The sequence below is a fragment of the Homo sapiens genome, chromosome 4, assembly GCF_000001405.40.
Source record: "Homo sapiens chromosome 4, GRCh38.p14 Primary Assembly".
NCBI lineage: Eukaryota > Metazoa > Chordata > Mammalia > Primates > Hominidae > Homo > Homo sapiens.
The window spans coordinates 122,609,657-122,627,959 of NC_000004.12; the positions used below are offsets into that span (position 1 = coordinate 122,609,657).

At 38.0% G+C, this 18,303-nt stretch overlaps 1 protein-coding gene and 1 long non-coding RNA gene across 3 annotated transcripts in view, besides 1 other annotated feature; one reads left to right on the forward strand and one right to left on the reverse strand.

Annotated features, from left to right (window-relative positions):
• Positions 452 to 11,410, reverse strand: IL21 (interleukin 21). Of its 2 annotated transcripts, NM_021803.4 has the most exons (5): positions 11,188 to 11,410; positions 11,045 to 11,080; positions 6,026 to 6,181; positions 3,195 to 3,272; positions 452 to 3,104 (listed from the first exon to the last, which is right to left on the reverse strand). In NM_021803.4, the coding sequence occupies exons 1-5, from the start codon at positions 11,353 to 11,355 to the stop codon at positions 3,054 to 3,056; spliced, it is 489 nt and encodes a 162-aa protein (NP_068575.1). In that variant the 5' UTR covers positions 11,356 to 11,410; the 3' UTR covers positions 452 to 3,053. The 2 variants fall into 2 exon arrangements, with proteins under 2 accessions (NP_068575.1, NP_001193935.1); NM_001207006.3 differs by having other exon boundaries at positions 2,972 to 3,272.
• IL21-AS1 (IL21 antisense RNA 1) overlaps positions 9,327 to 18,303 on the forward strand; it is a 70,174-nt gene continuing 61,197 nt past the window's right edge. Inside the window, exons 1-6 of the long non-coding RNA NR_104126.1 lie at positions 9,327 to 9,836; positions 10,312 to 10,509; positions 11,212 to 11,415; positions 11,539 to 11,665; positions 15,014 to 15,061; positions 15,560 to 17,157. This is a non-coding gene — a long non-coding RNA (IL21 antisense RNA 1). The remainder of the gene's footprint in view (positions 9,837 to 10,311; positions 10,510 to 11,211; positions 11,416 to 11,538; positions 11,666 to 15,013; positions 15,062 to 15,559; positions 17,158 to 18,303) is intronic.
• Positions 10,497 to 11,696: an enhancer, noted in NCBI's record as "CDK7 strongly-dependent group 2 enhancer chr4:123541308-123542507 (GRCh37/hg19 assembly coordinates)". NCBI's record gives its function as "activates an origin of replication core promoter dependent on BRD2, BRD4, P300/CBP, MED14 and CDK7 cofactors, with strong dependence on CDK7, by STARR-seq in HCT116 cells {active_cell/tissue: HCT116}" and the evidence as "EXISTENCE:reporter gene assay evidence [ECO:0000049][PMID:35650434]".

Here is an 18,303-nt window from a genome sequence, read left to right on the forward strand (position 1 = left end):
GCTGGTGGAATTTTCCCCGTGGGCACTGAAGTCGCCCAGATGATGGCAGACGTTGGATTTGAGAGAAGGAGCATCCTCAGTCCCCACTGAACATGGAGGAGTGGCCAGGAAATGACAATCATTAGTAAGAAGAGGACAGAAAAGCTAGATAGGATCAACTTGAACGCAGGAGAGAATTTTGCGCAAGAGTGTAGGTGCAGTGGTGGCAGTGGGCATTGGGAAGAATATCTCTAACTCCTCCTGAATGTGCCATACATTTGGGAGGGCTGCAAAGGAGGTGATATCCTTGAGGCAGAGACAGGATCCATTTCAGTGAGAACAGGTGAGAAGAGAAGATCATCTTTACCATGTACATGTAAAAACTATATGCTCCCAGAGACTAAGGATAATCTTTTATTTTCAGTCAGGACTATTGAATTAAGGGTTTCCAGGGAATCACAAAAGACGGTTGTACTGGGCGGGTAGTATTTAATATGATCAGGTCTTAAATAAGAAGCCATAAACATGAACATTTAAAATCAAATATATAATAAATAATTATTAAGTTATAAACTACATAGTTCATATTAGCTAAATTCTCAGATGCATATGTAAATACAACAGAGCAATAATATAGAATAATAATGCTACAATTTTATACAAGTGTTCCAAGAAGACACTTTGAACTAAAATAATAAAGATCATGATTAATTTTCCCTGAACTCTCATGACCTATAATAATGTTTCCTTTTCTCCCCTCCTTCCTTCCTTCCTTTTTTTTCTTGGAATATGTCCCTTGTTCCTGCAGTGAGTGTTGCTACAAATGTTATTGAAATAATACTGAGCAACTGAACATCAGACTCAGTAGAAAGTTTTACTCAGAAGTATGATCAGATGTTTCTGTAAGAATACCCAGAACTTTAGATATTCATAGACATTTAAAGCTTTAAAAAAGAAAGAATAGACATTAGAGATTAAGTCCAGCACTCTCATTCTACAGATAAAGAAATGGAAACCCAAAGAGTTTAAACAGTGACCACTATTTCATAGTCAACAAAATTTCACGTCTCCTGTATTACTGTCCATAGATGAACAGTTATATTTATGGGTTATCTTTATATTCCTTTTAAGAACTGGCCATCTTGAACATAGAGCAGTGAAGATGGAGCTGTTCAAGTCTCACTGCTTCATCTTGTTTATTCCAATGCATTGCCTTTCCTGGAGTGCTGGTGGGTTTAACTCTGGTTAAACAGCAGAGTTTATCTGGGTGTTTAAACTCTGTTTAATGAAGGCTCTTAGCCAAACCCTCACTGAGTTATTTTTACTTTTAAGATAGAGACCCTGATCAAAATAATTGGAACAGAAATTTTTAACAATAAACATGCCAAAAGAAATACATTATTTTAAATATGAAATACAATATCCAAGAAGTTAATAGCTATACATTCAGAAACAAGAAATACAGATTCCATCTTTCTCACTATCTTTGTGCCTGCTTCCACATTTTGTCACAACAACCCGGGCTGGCGTATTTGAAACTGAGGCACATTTTAGATATATATTATCATCATCAGGCACATAATTCCTTTGTCATACATGTTCTAAAATGTTAAAACAGAGTACCTTGTTTCTGATGATAAATTTTTTTTTCTTTTTTCTGAGTCTACTTGCTGATGATAAAACATTTCATTGAGATTTGATTAAATAATTCTCAATATATCTTTTAGAACTGTAGGTTAAGTCTGTATTTGTTTTAAGCACATAATTTTTCTTCTCAGAGCATAAAGCATTTCTCATCCCACATCCTCTTGCATAATCACAACTATTTTAACAATAAGAGATTCTCAAATAGCTTATACCATTCTAGCGAACATTTTACTTTTCTAGAGTTTTTAACTTCATGTTTAAACAAGCTGTGCTGGAGTTGATATGAAATGGCAGGTAGAGTAGGTTGCTTGTTTTTACTACCCAAGTCTGAAAGATTGGAATGCTTATGCGAAAGTCTGTTTTCAACTTGGACAGGAGTCCTGGCCTCTTGGTTTGTCTCCTGATTTTTAAATTATATAGGTGATTGAATTTGTCTTATCCAAAGTATAGTAACTATAAGTGTCCAAAATGTTAAACATGTTGTGAAATTTTGTCAAAGCAGAAGTTTCATTTTAAAAAGAAGGAAGAAAAGAAACGAAAGAAGAAAGAAGGAGACAAATATTTGGAGTTACTAGCTTGCTCATAATATGATCATTATAACAGTTTGAGAAGAGAGCTACAATACTTTTAAAACTATGTTTGGTTCCAGAAGACAACCTGGCATATGTCCCTCTATAGGTTTAAATTGCCATTTCCACAAGCTTAAAATGTTAGCTTATAAGGGGACTGGGGGCTGGAGGAAGGTAATATTAAATCCACTTCTTAATACTCTATTGCCACTGACTAAGAGTCTATTCCATAAATACATTCATATCTATAGTATTTAAATATTTTTATAAACCCCAATAAAGAAGTAAGGCTTTTATAGCCATCTAGTATCCCCCGGTGCATAAATAAATTACATATTTATATGTTAGACATTCTGAGATTTAAAAAACTATTCAGATATAAGTTTTTAAACACTCAGTTTTCATTTCCTTAAAAGAATAAAGATGTCAACTTTTCATTTTGCTTTTATATATTTTGCTTCTATGCTTCTATATTATCAGCTGGAATGAAGGTATATATGTTTTAAGTTATGATCATAATAGACCTCATTCTGGTGGTAATCAAGCTCAAGGTTAATATAAAATCAATAGATGTCAAAACTGTATTTTTGGTTAAAAATTTTAGCCTTCTCCTTCAACCAAGAAATGTCAAAGTTGGGCAGTGAGATAAAGTAAAAACTTCAGAAGTCATAGAAATCAATAACATAGGAAATCAGACTATTGTATAGTGATTATGGGGAAATAATCCTGACTTTGCACACTTATGAGTTTTTTTTTCCCATCGCTAATATATTGTACTCCTCCACTTGGAATACAAAGAAATGACTTTCACTACTATATTAGAGTATGTAACATAGTGTCCAACTGCAAGTTAGATCCTCAGGAATCTTCACTTCCGTGTGTTCTAGAGGACAGATGCTGATGAATCATCTGTGGAAATAGTATACCGTGAGTAACTAAGAAGCAAATCTGGATAGGTAAAGATAAAGCAGAAAATCAAATGAAACTTAAGGTAGATACCTTTTGGAGAAGTGATTTGAATCTTTCTAGGAATTCTTTGGGTGGTTTTTTCTCATAAGAATCACATGAAGGGCATGTCTAGAAATCAATGAAAAAGTAACAGTCTTCTTTAAAATTTTTTTCGTAATAAAATGTTTCTTAAAATTTTTTTTCATTAAAAACATAAATTATGTTCACTGAAAAACATTCGAGAAGTACATAAAACTGTTTGGAAAGTAACAATGGAAAAAGTCCTTGTAATCCCATTCCCAGAGATAGGAATCCCACTGCAATGTTTTAATGTATATTCTCTCTGTGTTTTGGGTATTTTTAATTATTATTGTGCATTTACATTATTTATACCAGTTGGTGATTTGCTTTTTTTTTTTCACACTTAACATATCACAGGATTTCCTAAGTGTTAAATAATCTTCAAAAATATGACATGTAGTGGTTGTTCTGTATTCCAACATAGGATGCAACTCTTACTATTTTTGGACCCAAAGGTTGCATCTAACTTTTTTTTTTTTTTTTTTTTTTTGGAGACAGTCTTGCTGTGTCACCCAGGCTGGAGTGCAGTGGCGCGATCTCCACTGACTGCAACTTCCACCTCCTGGATTCAAGCAATTATCCTGCCTTAGCCTCCCAAGTAGCTGGGATTACAGGCACGCACGACCATGCCTGGCTAATTTTTGTATTTTTAGTAGAGACCAGGTTTCACCATGTTGGCCAGGCTGGCCTCAAACTCCTGATCTCAGGTGATCCGCCTGCCTCGGCCTCCCAAAGTGCTGGGAATACAGGCATGAGCCACCACACCCAGCTGTATCTAACTTTTTATTTTTGTCTACATTACTCCAAAGAACATCTCTGTAAATAATTTTTCATATATATCTTTGCTTATTTGATATATTCCTAGAAGTAGAATTACTAAATTAAAGGGATAAAAATTTTAAGGCTTTGATATACATTATAAAGGGTTTTACCTCTTTTCACTTGGAGCATTCTTATTATTATAGGGTATTGTTTAAAATGTTTAATTGGAAAAAACAGGATTTCCTTGTTTTAACTCGCATTTATGTGATTACTAGGGAGATTGAACAGTTTTTCATATATGGATTGCTCACTTAGATTTTTAAAAAGCTTTCTTAGTTTATGCTCTTTGTCTTTATCCCTATTTAGATACCAAACACCAAGCCATTGCTTGGTAGTTAGCATCTCAATGCCAGTGTGATGTTGTAGTGAGAGCATTTCACTAAAAGATAGTAGATATACGTTCTAATTCTCATTCTGACACTATTTATGGAACTTGGGGCTAGTGACTTAACTCCTTTGTAGATCTCACTTTCCTCATCTATAAGATGAACATGCTTAACTGGAGAGTTCTAAGTTTAGCTCCAAAGCTACCACTTCATGAGTTTCAAAAATATGTTCAGCTCCTTTCTTTCTGAGGAAAGATTTAGAGGGATATTTTTCACATGGTCACCAGGCCAAGCAATCAAAAGAAATAAGAATAATTTTGATAATATAATTAAGATTTCATTTGAATCACATGTGGAATGTTTTTGGAGGCAAAAGAACTAATTTAAAAAATTTGAGGCTGGGTGCGATGGCTAACACCTGTAATCCCAGCACTTTGGGAGGCCGAGGCGGGCAGATCACCCGAGGTCAGGAGTTCGAGACCAGCCTGACCAACATGGTGAAACCCCGGCACTACTAAAAATACAAAAATTAGCCAGGCGTGATGGTGTGCGCCTGTAGTTCCAGCTACTTGGGAGGCTGAGGCAGGAGAATTGCTTGAACTGGGAGGTGGAAGCTGCAGTGAGCCAAGACCTTGCCACTGCACTCCAGCATGGGCGACAGACTGAGACTCTGTCTCAAAAAAAAAAATTTTTTTTGAGAGTAATTTATTTTATGTATTTTCCCACTGGCTTTAATCTTTGAATTACTCATGTTCTTGGGTATCTGCATTGCTCATGAGTTGGCATATACAAGAGGATCTCAGGGCTCCTAAAAGCTTGGGACTGTTAAAATTCCCCAGCCAAGTAATGAGGCCTCCCTATTTCAATTCAATACTGACTCTGCTGATGTACAGGATAGTAATATGATTTAAGAGAGGAGGCAAAGTTTAAGATTTGCCCTAGTCTTCTTGTAGGCTCTTTTCTTGTTAGAAAGCTAGGATCTAGCTCCTGTTAATAAGAATACAAGTTATCTGTGACCATATGAGAGGAAATAGTTCTTAACTCCAAAATCACAGTTGGATTCTCTGCCTAATGACTTCCTCACCTTGAGAAGCTATATTAACATATTCCAGCTGCCAAGGACTACTAGGAAATTATAATTGGGTTTTTGAATACTTTCAAGTCTGTGGGCTTAAAAGAGTGACCCTACTTCTTAAAATGCACCACGTATAGGCCGGGTGCGGTGGCTCATGCCTGTAATCCCCACACTTTGGGAGGCCAAGGCGGGCGGATCACGGGGTCAGGAGATCGAGACCATCCTGGCTAACATGGTGAAACCCTGTCTTTACTAAAAATACAAAAACAAAATTAGCCGGGCATGGTGGCGGGCACCTGTAGTCCCAGGTACTCAGGAGGCTGAGGTAGGAGGAGAATGGCGTGAAACCGGGAGGTGGATCTTGCGGTGAGCAGAGATCACGCCACTGCACTCCAGCCTGGGTGACAGAGTGAGACTCTGTCTTAAAAAAAAAAAAAAAAGCACCATGTATAATAAGGCATAACTATAGGTAAGGAAGACACCAGCAGCCCTGGCTACAGGTGTGTGTGTATGTTTATGTAATGCAAGATATATAGTTTATAAGTACAAATAAGAGAGATGACAAATGACAATCTTACTAGTCTGTGTTTCTGTCTTCTCCCTGCATTTGTGGAAGGTGGTTTCCTCTTCAGCTTTTTAATTGATACATTGATTATCCTTTCATTGTTTCCTGTATTTGCTGACTTTAGTTGGGCCTTCTGAAAGCAGGAAAAAGCTGACCACTCACAGTTTGTCTGAAAGATAAACAATTTGTATATATGTTAACAAACATTATTCAGAAAGTAAAAGATAGCTTTCCCAATCCTCTATTTCTATCTCTTCTGCAATGTCGTGCATTACATCGTTTCAACAGATGAGTGAGGTATGATTTCACCTCCTACTTAATCTTTGGGATGGGAAAAAGGGACAATCCCCTGCTTCGCAGATAAGAGAGAAAGGAGCCTCACTTCTTCACAATGCTTTATTCCTGATGCTACACAGAGGACCATTTTGATGTCTGGGTGGTGGACAAGACCTTTGTGTTTTATAAAGGAGAGTTAGTTCGGTTTAGGACACATTTGCTGAGTTATGAGGCTCTAAAACTTACACTGTGACTAGTGGCAGCTTTGGGTAAATTATGTTATAGTCTGATGAAGAACATTTTTCATTTGTTTGTGGTTTCTGTTAATGTATCTATCATGACATGTCTTGAGCAGCATTTTATTCTGTACAGCGCCAGGCATAGTGTCTTGCCAGTTAATGATCAACATATATTTGTAAAGTTAACAGATGAAGAAAATGAATTAAAGCCCCTCCTTTGGAGAAAGGAAGTGGGTACCTCCCTCTGATAGCATATTTTACATCTAAGATTCAATATACTTGCCATAGATCACACATGACTTTTCTAAAACCCTTTTCATACTCCCAGCTCAGTTAGGGTTAGGATTCTGCCTGAATCAAGCAGTTGAGGAACAGTTTGAGGCTTGTCCAACCAATGAGACGGAAAGTCATTTCTTAGAAGGTAAGAATAGGGTCTCAGAGAATGGAGGAGCGGATAAAATAAGCATCAAACACTTATCTCTTGGTTTGGAAAAATAGCTAATGACTAACAAGCCAAAAGCTTAGCCATCAAACTGGAAAGGAAATGGAATTTACTGGAAAAACCAAACATATACTGACTTGTTGAAAAATTTTAATGCTGATCCAAAAGCTTATATCCAGGTGACTTGTATCCAACTTACTTTTTTCTTTCAGCAAACGTGTGTATGTGATGCTATTTTCCCCCTGAAGTTGCTATATTTTCATTTCACTATGCATATGGAAGCTACTACCTTATAACCAGAAGCCTCAATCCCTCCCAGTCCCTACAAAGGCAGGCCTATACGTAACAATATTACCTGAATCTTCTTATGGACAATCAGCTGAACACAGCATCTGGCCTGCTTTGCATTTTCCAACCCATATGCTTACCCAATATGAATGTAGATTAATAATATGCATCTCTAAGACACAAACCTATCAGGTTTGCTTTGCATATATAGCCACAAGCCGAGAAGCAGCTTATCTGGTTTCCTTATATCAAGGCAGATTGCCTCTCATAAGGGCAAGGTGGTGTCCTTTCCATATGTTTGCCAAAATGCTTATTTAATAGAAACTATTTATAAATGTTCAATATAGCACTTTTTTTTCCTTGAAAACCACACGTTCATGTTTGTTGAAGTTTTTTCTTTTCTCTTCTTTTTGACCACAACCGGCTTAACTTACTGGAAAAAATAATATTCATATTTAAAGAGGTAAATTTTCCAGCTGAAACTGAAAATACTGACTGCTTCATCCGTGATGATCTGAAAAACCAGCATTTCTCACAGAGGCTCATTTTGCTGAGTTAACATTTACATGTGTATGCTGAAAGAAAATTAGGTTCCAAAGAAGTAGAGGGGCCCTGCCAGCCAAATGAACTCCCTTGAGATAATATTGCCAGGAATGGTCAGTACCGGTACTCAAAGCACTGAAATTGTAAAACTACAATTTCAGTTGTAAAAACAACTGAAAATCTTTTCTGAAAGCCTTTGAATGGTACCTGGACACTGACGCCCATATTGATGGGGCTGTGCTTCCTCTCCCACCCTTCCTTGTTTACCTCTGTTAACAGACAATGGGGTTTTGTTTTCTTCTGTTCTGCAAGCAGCAGAGCTGTGTCTGGCAATATGTGGTCCAGGATAAATAACTGCGGGAATTGGCTTTATATGCACATCAAAGGCAGCCTCAAAAGAGGAAAAGAAGTAGAGGGCTGTCGCCACTAAACTGCCTTAAGGATGTATTGAGAAGGAGAGTGAAAAGATTAACCTTGATTTAGGCAGCCTCAGGTGCCCTATCACTCAGGAGTCTACAGGATGCCAACTCCATATTTAGCACTGTCTGGAAGCATGAACATTGCTTTCCTTTGCTATGCCTTGGTGACAACAGACTCCAAAGGCAAGACTTTGTTTCCCTCATGCTTTAACATATGAGAACATGAGGAGTTTTCTGCTGCTACATTGTTTTGCAGACTAGAAGGAGCGGTAGTAAAGTCAAACGCAAGAATTAACAAACCATTCCTCTTCAGCTGAAGAACAAGTCAAGTGCTGCTTTTGCCAGGAGTCACACTTGGCTTTGTTGTTTTGCAATTGAATTTTTGAAATTTTTTACCTCCTTAGGGCTTTTTTTTTTTTCTTTTGTAGAAACAGGATGTCTCACTATTTTGCCCAGGTTGTTCTCAAACTCTTGACCTCAAGCAATCCTCCAAACTTGGCTTCCCAAAAGGATTACAGGCATTGGGATTACAGGCAGGAGCCACTTCACCCAGCTGAGGCCTATTTTTACATTTTTTTCCTTTTGCAAAGAAAGCCCTGGCCATTCACACTAAGAAGTCTTGCTAATTGGGCAAGACTACCTTTGTCCTGGCTGGGTGCAGTGGCTCACGCCTGTCATCCCAGCACTTTGGGAGGCCAAGGCAGGTGGATCACGGGGTCAAGAGATTGAGACCATCCTGGCCAACATGGTGAAACCCCGTCTCTACTAAAAAATACAAAAATTAGCTGGGTGTGGTGGCGTGCGCCTGTAGTCCCAGCTACTCGGGAGGCTGAGGCAGGAGAATCGCTTGAACCTGGGAGGCAGAGGTTGCAGTGAGCTGAGATCGCACCACTGCACTCCAGCCTAGCAACATATCGAGACTCCGTCTCAAAAAAAAAAAAAAAAAAAAAAAAAAAGGATTACCTTTGTCCTACACACAAACTAGGTTTATATCAGGGTTTCTCAACGGTGATACCACTGACATTTGGGGCTAGATAATTCTTTGTTGTCAGGGCTGTCTTGTGCATTCTAGAATGTTTAGTACCTGGCTTCTACCTACTAGATGCCAGTAGCACCCCCATTCTACCTCCAAGTGTGACAACCAGAAATTTTTCCAGCCAATGCCAAATGTTTTCTGGGGCACAAAAATCACCACCGGTTGAGAACCACTGGTTATATGATTAGACGGAAAGAAAAAGAGAAAAAGAAAGATGCCTGGCTAGGCCAATTAGAGATCTTAGATAATTACTATATGCATGCAACATTAGATAGTTTTATTTTCATTAAACTTTTAAATCTTTTAAAATCTCTTACAGACCCTACTTTGAAGCTAGCTTGATATAATGCTAATGTGACCTTGAACGATTTCTTTCTTCCTGAGTTTGCCTACTAGTATAGCTTAAAGATCCAAGTTACACTATTACTCACTTATATCATAGCCAGCATTGCTTGATCAGATTATCAGATAGATACAGTATCACGGAGACAAAATCCTTTCATTATGATGTAAGATAAAAAATATCTTTCATTAACAACACACGTAAAGGAAGTACCCACTGGACCAACTCAGGTTAGAAGGTGGAATCTCTTTCTTATTTCTTATTTTGCAAGTTATAGACTACAGCCAGGAAACTCTGGAAAGAACTCTAACCATAACAGTTAAACAAGGTGCATGAGATGCTAGAAATGTATGTTTTGATAATTAGGCACATTGATTAAGAAGTATTTTCAGTTATTGGAAAAGTCTTTCCAATAAGCTGAATGTGCTACTTTCATTTTAGATGCTGCTTATTAGAAAAGGACCTAGTAAATGAGAGTGTTTGGGTTCAGAGCTAGAGAGTGAATTTTAGAGAAAAGCAATAGTTGTGACTCATTCACTTTCTAAACTTTTACACATAGTCATTTACGATAATTGTTTTCTTTGCAATGTATCTTCTTAAGTCTCCCCCTTTGTAGTGTCCTAATTACTGGTAGCACTTTTAGTTATTCTAATTTATGCAATTAAAGGTCTGTGACAATGAAAACATTTCCCCAATTGCATTTATACTCTCAGGGTACCAGACCAGAAGATCAGATCGTAGAAGTTACTGGAGAAAAAGATCAGCGGACAGCACTCTTGAACTACATGCCAGGCCTCTTCTTCCTGGAACTCTAATGGATTTAAATGGCTTAAGAGACGGGATGAATTGTTGAAAATGGTTCTTTCAAAAGACCTCACGGAAGGCCAAAGACAAGACTCACTGAGGCCAAGGTATATGTGAATTATATTCTGAAGGACAGCTTTGATTTCCACACCACCATTTCTCCATGCTGTCCCTGTAATCTAATTCTTTCTTTCTTTCTTTTTTAAGTTTGTTATTAAAAGGTTAATTCTGCTTCCTACTGTATGTATCTATGTTTCTTCGGTAGGATAACAAAGAAGGCTCAAAAGCTTTCATGCCCAAGGGCTCTTAAAGAGTAACTAGCTGTGCATTGTTCAGAAACTGATCAGAGTATAGATTTCGTTTCTAGTTTTGTTATTCTGTCTCAGCAATACTACTTAGGAGTACTCTTAGAGATTCTTGAAGATAAACATAGTTTATGAGGAATATAATATAGCATTTTTTAGTTGGTTTTTGGTAAATCAATGAATTTAACCAAAATATAAATAAATATTTCATCAATTATTAGACCGCTAAGTTCATTAAAATTCAGTATACTCCTATATAATCATGCTAATGTCTTTCTTATTGGATTTAAAAACTTATGTCCAATGTATTTTCAGAAATAAATTCAACTGGTCTTACCTCTACATCTTCTGGAGCTGGCAGAAATTCAGGGACCTAGAGCAAAAGAAAATTTGTTCTGAGTTATTTTTATAAGCCAAACCCTCCTTTTATATTAATTGAAAAGTATGATTTAGATTTTGTTGTGACAAATATAGTCTTACCAAGTCATTCACATAATTTTTCAGCTGATCAACAATATCTATAAGTTGACGCATTCTAATCATGTGGCGATCTTGACCTTGGGAGCTTGATTTGTGGACCAGTGTCCCCAAGAAGATGACCATCAGACAGATGACAATCCTCTCCATGTTGCCAGGACTGGATCTCATAAGTACCAACAGTAGAGCTAGACCTTGGTCTCGTTTTCACTTCAGCTTGACTGAGAACAGGTTGTCAGTTAAGCTACCTATTTATTCATCCTTCAGGGAGAGGTAAAGCCCTCCCATTGCAGCCTGGAAATCTTTGTAAAATGGATGAATGTGAGTAACTCTTTTTTCTTTTCCACTGGCTAGGTATACGTGTGCATGTGCTAATGTGTGGGGGCAGGGATTGATGGAGTCAACGAAATGTGCCCCATCTGCATCTTTGACAGGAAAAAGAGAGAATGGGTGAATTCCAATTTTCAGCATGAATCAAGAAGTATGTATAATAAACAGTAGGTACTACAAGACTTCAAAAAAGTAAACAAAAACACTTTGATCTCTTTTTCTCGGCCTCCCCTGGCATCTTACCTGTTCTCTCTGACAGTCATAAGGGCACTTTGATAATGAGTAAGATGGCAACATGTGCTTTCATGCAGGACTTTTTCTTATGGTAATAACTATGTCTTTTGACTAAAATCATCCAGTATTCCATCATAAAAGTAGGAGGAGAGGCTACCTTTTAGGAAATTTTAAATAAAGAGGTATTTTCCAAATTAGCAAGAATATTTTAGGTTCTTACCAAGTTTCAAGGGTTTAAAATAGAATTTGCTTCCAACTGTTCACCAAAGCATCTTTACTAAGCATTTATTTTGGCTTCTGTCATGTTATTTAACAATCTGATTTATTAATATCACAAATGATTCTAAGGGAGTTGATAGAAAATCTATCCTTCCCAATCAAGATCTCACTCTACCATCATTTTAAAAATTATCTAATGTCCATCTCTTCTATATAATACATCAATTAAATGAGTCAAACTTGCTAATGCTCATTCTTGTCCAAACCAAAAAATGTTTCCAAACAGCAAAATAAAATATACCCATAAATGATTCGTTTTCTCTTAGGGTAGTGTTACTTATTTCTGTTAGATACTATTTCCTCTGGGTGTGAGCAACACATTTCTAACTGCATCTGTGACCGGGTAGAGGTTAATTAAAGATCCAAAGCCCAGAAATGGTTTTATCATCCTCCTTTCTTCTGCTTCTCTTGTCCCTGAGACTCTTTTAACCCATTTGAGAAAGTTGAATATAATATTCTAGCTAGAGAGTCATGTACTATATAAGACCATAGGTCTTATAAGTGAAACTCTTGACTATAGATTTTATTCATTCATTCATTCATTCATTCATTTCATTACATACTTTAGAATACCATACTTTATTCTAGACTGTTACGTAGCCAACATAAATTGGAGTTTTCACTTGATTTGCTCTGAAGTTGACTGTAATCTTTTTATTATGGAATATCTATTCAAGAGTATACAGGTTTGGCCTTATACAGTAGATAAGAGTTCATACAACATGATCAAGAATTCCTCCCTGTAATAGTTAAATTCTATATGACAAGATTCTGTGCAACTTATGAATGCATGTGGACTAAGGGTTGCCACTTGGTGCCTCCACATTGCCTGTATGGTCTTTGTACATGCACTCCTTATCCACCTAAACAGATGTGCATCTCCTTGAAGACACTAACCACGGTGGTTAGGAGGTCAATTTCTAAAGCTTGAGTTCAAATCAAGGTCCTAACAATTAATAGCACATATGATCCTGTGTGTGTAATTGCAAAAGGAAGGCAAGTACAGAATCTACTCATAGGGTTGTGATAAGGCTTAAATGAGACATTCCAAGTAAAAGGGCTAAGTACAGCACATAACATCCCGGGAGGTTTGCATGCTGATCGTGGATGAGGGTGAAGGGGAGAACTTTAAGAAGCCTAGGGGAGGCTAAACTGATCAGAGAAGGAGGAGAATGGACAGATCAGTGTTCAGCCAGAATACACTTGTGTGGTTGTACTGGTGGTTTAACAAAAAATAAAAAAGTCAAATATCTTTCATACTGCCTAGAGAGAACCATTGCTCCTGGCCCTGGAGTGCCTCACCACTATGTTAGACAACCCAGTCCCTCCCTGAGACATCCTAGCCCTCTCCATAATCCATCCACCAGTACATCAGGGGTCTCAGAGTCTTGCTCCAGCACTATGACCAGAGGGCTTTCTGAAAGTCAGAATTTCTACCTTAAGTGGCACATCAGTTGTTAAGAATTTTTGGATATCATCTCTGGTGTGATAGACTTACCAATGCCCCAAAGATATCCATGCCCTAATCCCTGGAACCTGTGAAAATGTTACCTTACATTGACCCAGGGGACTTCGCAGATGTGAAAAAATTAAAGATTTTTTACATGGGAAGATTATCCTAGATTATCTCGTGGGCCCAGTGCAATCACAGGAGCCTTTATAAGAGGAAGGCAGGAGAGTCAAAGTAAAAGAAGGAGCTGTTGTTTCAGAAGTAGAGGCTGGAGTGATGCAGGGCCAGAAGCCAAGGAATACAGATGGCTTCTAGAGTCTGGGAAAAGTAAGAAACAAATTCTTCCCTGGAGCCTTCAGAAAGAATGCAGCCCAGCCAAAAACACCTTGACTTTAGTCCCATAAAGCTCATTTTGAGTTATTATTCTGACCTTCAGAAATGTAAGATAATAAATTTATGCTGTTTTGTTCTTACCTGAATAGATACACATCTCCTTGAAGTGTTTGCGGTAATTTGTTACAGCAGCAATAGAAATGTAACATACATAGGTATGGGATTTTTAATCTCAGGGAAAAGGGCAGGAAAAGAGGGAAAGAGAGGAAAGGGTAATAAGAAAAGATCCAGCAAAGGTTGGAATTTTGTTGGGCTTTTGGGAGGTGCAGGTAGAGGATATAAGGAAGTGTGGACAAGAGAGGAAGTAAGATTAGTGTAGCTGCCACATGGTATGGGCCCTCAGCGATAAAAATGTATAATGAGGATGTTCTAGGAAGTCTTGTGTGTATTGTAACAACTCCTCCCTAGCCCTGAGAAAACTTCACTCAGGATTCACAACATCATTTAAAGTTATGGATCCCAATTTGCATTTCATTTGAATTTATCACTGTGTGGAGATGAACCTTAGGGTGGGAGCAAGGAGGCCCAAAAGTATTTGAGTCACTAGGGCAAAGTAAATTAGTCACTGCTCAGAAATATTAACGTTATTGCTACCTTTACAGTATCATTTCATTGGCGTTTTAAGGGCTGCTTACTCTTTAAATTATAATTATTTTTATAATCTAGATACAATCAGTCCTGCTATAAGGCTCATCTTGAAAATGATAATGTATTCCAATGAGGTTAATATATCAAGGAACAATTTGAGTATAACAAGAACTTTGTGTTTCTTTATGTTTAATTTCATCTGCAAGAAATGCTAAGTGAATGCAGAAAACTGCATCCAGCTGAACTGAGCCATGTAGGAATACATAAGATGTCCTCACACCTCTGACAGCCACCAGCATCCTCAGTTCACTGCATGTGTAATGAGCCACACCCATCGACATCTGGTGTCACAATTTTCCATCCCAGAGAACTCTCCTTCGCCATGTCTCAATAACTCACAAACTGTAACCCTTCCAACACCCACCTCCATGAACAAACTTAAAGTCCTTTTCTAGGTGAAACAATGTGTTTATTTTATTATTTATGTATTTCTTAACCATTTAACATGCCTAAAACAGCTATCTTTTTAAATTAGGTTGCTATCTTCTTTTTCAGTGTCACCGATGAAGTTTTTGAATGCTGTGCTCCTAATCTCATTTTCCTGTAAGCATGTGAGTTTTGATTCTATGATTTTGTATAGTGCAGTGATTTTTTAGAAACACGTGGGTCACATTATAGCAGAACTCACTGTATTTTGTCTCAAAGTGTCACACTTAAGCCCCAACAGCAACTACTTATATCCAGGCAGAAAACAAGACTAGAATATAGAATTTATTCTTAAGGTGGGGAATAAAAGGGAAGGGAAGAGAAAGGGAAGAGGAAGGGAGAGACAATGAAAAACAATTTGTCATTTCTACACATGGCCCATCTGAGTTATTAAAAAACTCCAGTGTCCATTTCTTCCTTGATCCTTTCCTGTTAGCACATGGGGGCTTAGCTTGGCATCTGTGGATTTCCCGGGTTCCATACATGTGTTTCAGAGATCCCCTAACCTCCTGAAATTATTTGCAAAATTTTGTATTTATATTGTGAGCAAAACAAAACCTTAAATTTCATCAAATTCTCAATGGAAATGTCATGCAACTGCTGTTTGTTTTCCAGCCTCCAGAGACTTCGGTGAAGGATGATGCAAACTGTGTTTCTTCAGCATGTGAGCACCATCAGCCATGAGTGTGGCAGCTCCAGAATGTCTATACCAGAGTGGCTGAGAGTCAGCAACTTGGCTGGAAGCTACACTTGAATAGCAAACAAACCACTTTTACTTAGTTTCCATGTCTATTTGGTACCTTGGAGTACAGTGATGAGTTTTACTAGATGTGGACTTTCCAGGAATATAGCCAAGGTCGTCACCATGAAAGTATGAAACTTTAGTCATTTACCCAAGGGGATTCATGGACATATATTAAGAATTTTCTTTAATGGACTGTGTTTATAGAACACCTGGTCAGGACGGAAATGAGGCCAGGGAACTAAAGGGGTAGAAGTCTGAAGAGGAATGGTTTTGCATGGGAAAACTGTGCCAGGTCTAAAACTGGGCTGAACACTATTTGTCCCCAACTCTCTGGCCCGGTCCTCATAGTTCTTTCTGTGATCCCTGCGTGGTGAATACTCCTTTTCTGCTTTCACTGGCTTTGGCCCCTCATGGATAGAATTAGATGTTCTGCATGGCAAACTGTGGGAAGAGAGGCCTCCAGTGTTTAGAGTGATATTATCATGTGTACCACTACTATTATACATACTAAAGGTATTCAGACAGGTGGCTTGTCTCTGGGCTTTATATAGATCTCTGTCAAGCTAGAAGAAAAATGTCACTAAAATAATTCAAGACAATTTTTGTACTTTCCAACGATGTTCAGGTAACAGCTGAAAATATTCTCACTTATTTGACTTGAGGAAGAAAATTCGAACGAGGAAAATCATCAAGGATTTGCTAAAGTCCCTTCTGTAAAATCTTCCTTAAGGAAGTTTAAACACTCCTATTCTCTCTTCTCTCATTCTTTTGAACTCACTGCATGTATTGATATCACTGACTTGGTTTGTTTTCTAGAATATATGTAAAAGTAAGAGTGTGTATATATAACCCATTATGTACATAACAAGAACAGTTCCTTCCAATATTCAAATTTCATGACTCTAGATCACTACTGTGCATTCTAAGAAGGTCAGGGACTCATGGAGACCAAAGGGTCAATCCTGGTCATTGTTGTCTTACGAGAGAAAAACAAGAGCCTTCTCGGGCCCCGTGTTCTCTAGCTCTTGATGTGGCCTCTTCGGTATCACTGGCAGCCCCACAGTCTGGTGGTCAGTGTGTCGCAGCAGAGGGTCATTCACCGATGCTGCTTATCCACAGCACCTTTTCTGTGGGGAATGGGGGCCTCTATTCTGCTAGTAGACTCAGGTGTGTCACTCTGTGATACTCTTAAGACTGGGTTCATTGAGGACAGGTCTCTTTGCTAACATTCACACAAAGTCATTGTTTGGAAGCACAGTCCTGCTTCTGAAATGCTAGGTCTGGAGGAGTTCCAGCAGCAGCCACATGGGCCCTCTCCTCAGATCTTGGCTCCAACATGGGATACTCAGCAGTGAGGCTAGAGATCAGATGTCCTTCATTCCTTGACCACTAAGCCTAGAGGATGGAGAGAAAGAAGTGGAACATCTGCACTCTTCAACCTGAGTCCACTCCAACTCCATCCCACAAGGTGAGGCAAGTTCCACCAGCCTCTCCAGCCTCCTGTCTAATATGATCAGAGAAATCCTCTTCTCTCTGGACTCAAGACCCATCCCTGTTTCCTTCCCTAAGGCGACAGGTGGCTATAGCACCCTTTGTCTTGGCCCTGCAGCCACCAATACACAACCATAAAAATAAAGTAGTCCAATTATTAGCCTTCGCTGTGTCCTGTGTCCTCCTCCCAAGAGATCTGCGGAACCTTCATTTATCACCTGAATGGGAGCCTCCTCCCCATGCTTTCCCAGGGGGCAGCCATAGGACCTCACAGAGATGTTACTGTGTATCACTCTAGACTCTTTTCCTATATACATAGAACAATAAAGGAATAGATAGGGACACATAGACACTTAAGGAAATAGAATTATGTATGGAGATAGAAACATAAAAATAAATAGCACAGACATATAGATATAGAAAACTGGTACTTTTACATAAAAACTTAATCTCACCATATGTAGTCTATAAATTTTTTTTTCACTCAACCTATGTCAGGGACAGGAGTCCATACAGGATTCACACACAGGGATATCTCATTAGATTAATATTCCATTGTATGGCAGTACCACAATTTATCCATTCATAACCCTACTGATAAACATTTAGATTGTTTCCAGTTTTTATCCACTGCAAACAATGCTGCAATGAACATCCTTAGACATAGAGATCTCTAAGCATATGTGAAATATATTCTTTTAATGTTGTATTTTAAAATACATGTCTTGAATTTCACTTCCTGAGTGGAAAGATACTTTGAAAAACTTTGTAGAAACTGCCAAATTTCCCTCTGACATGCCATACCAGTTTATACTCCCAACAACATAGAGTTTCTTTTCCTCTCATTAATACTTTATGTTATGAATATTTTAAATATCTACCAACATATTGGGGCAAAAATAGTATCCTCTCATTGGTTTGTCTTTCCTTGATCAATAGTTAGATCTGCTATATTTTCATCAGTGTGTTTATTTTTCCACAAATTGTCTGATTCATATTATTTGCCAATTTATTCATTTGTTTCTTATTTACTTATAAAGGCTCTTTTTCTATTAAAGATATGTTAAACATGTAGAAATTATTTTCTCTGTGGTATCCTTTGCCCTACTGAGGTTTTGAGCTT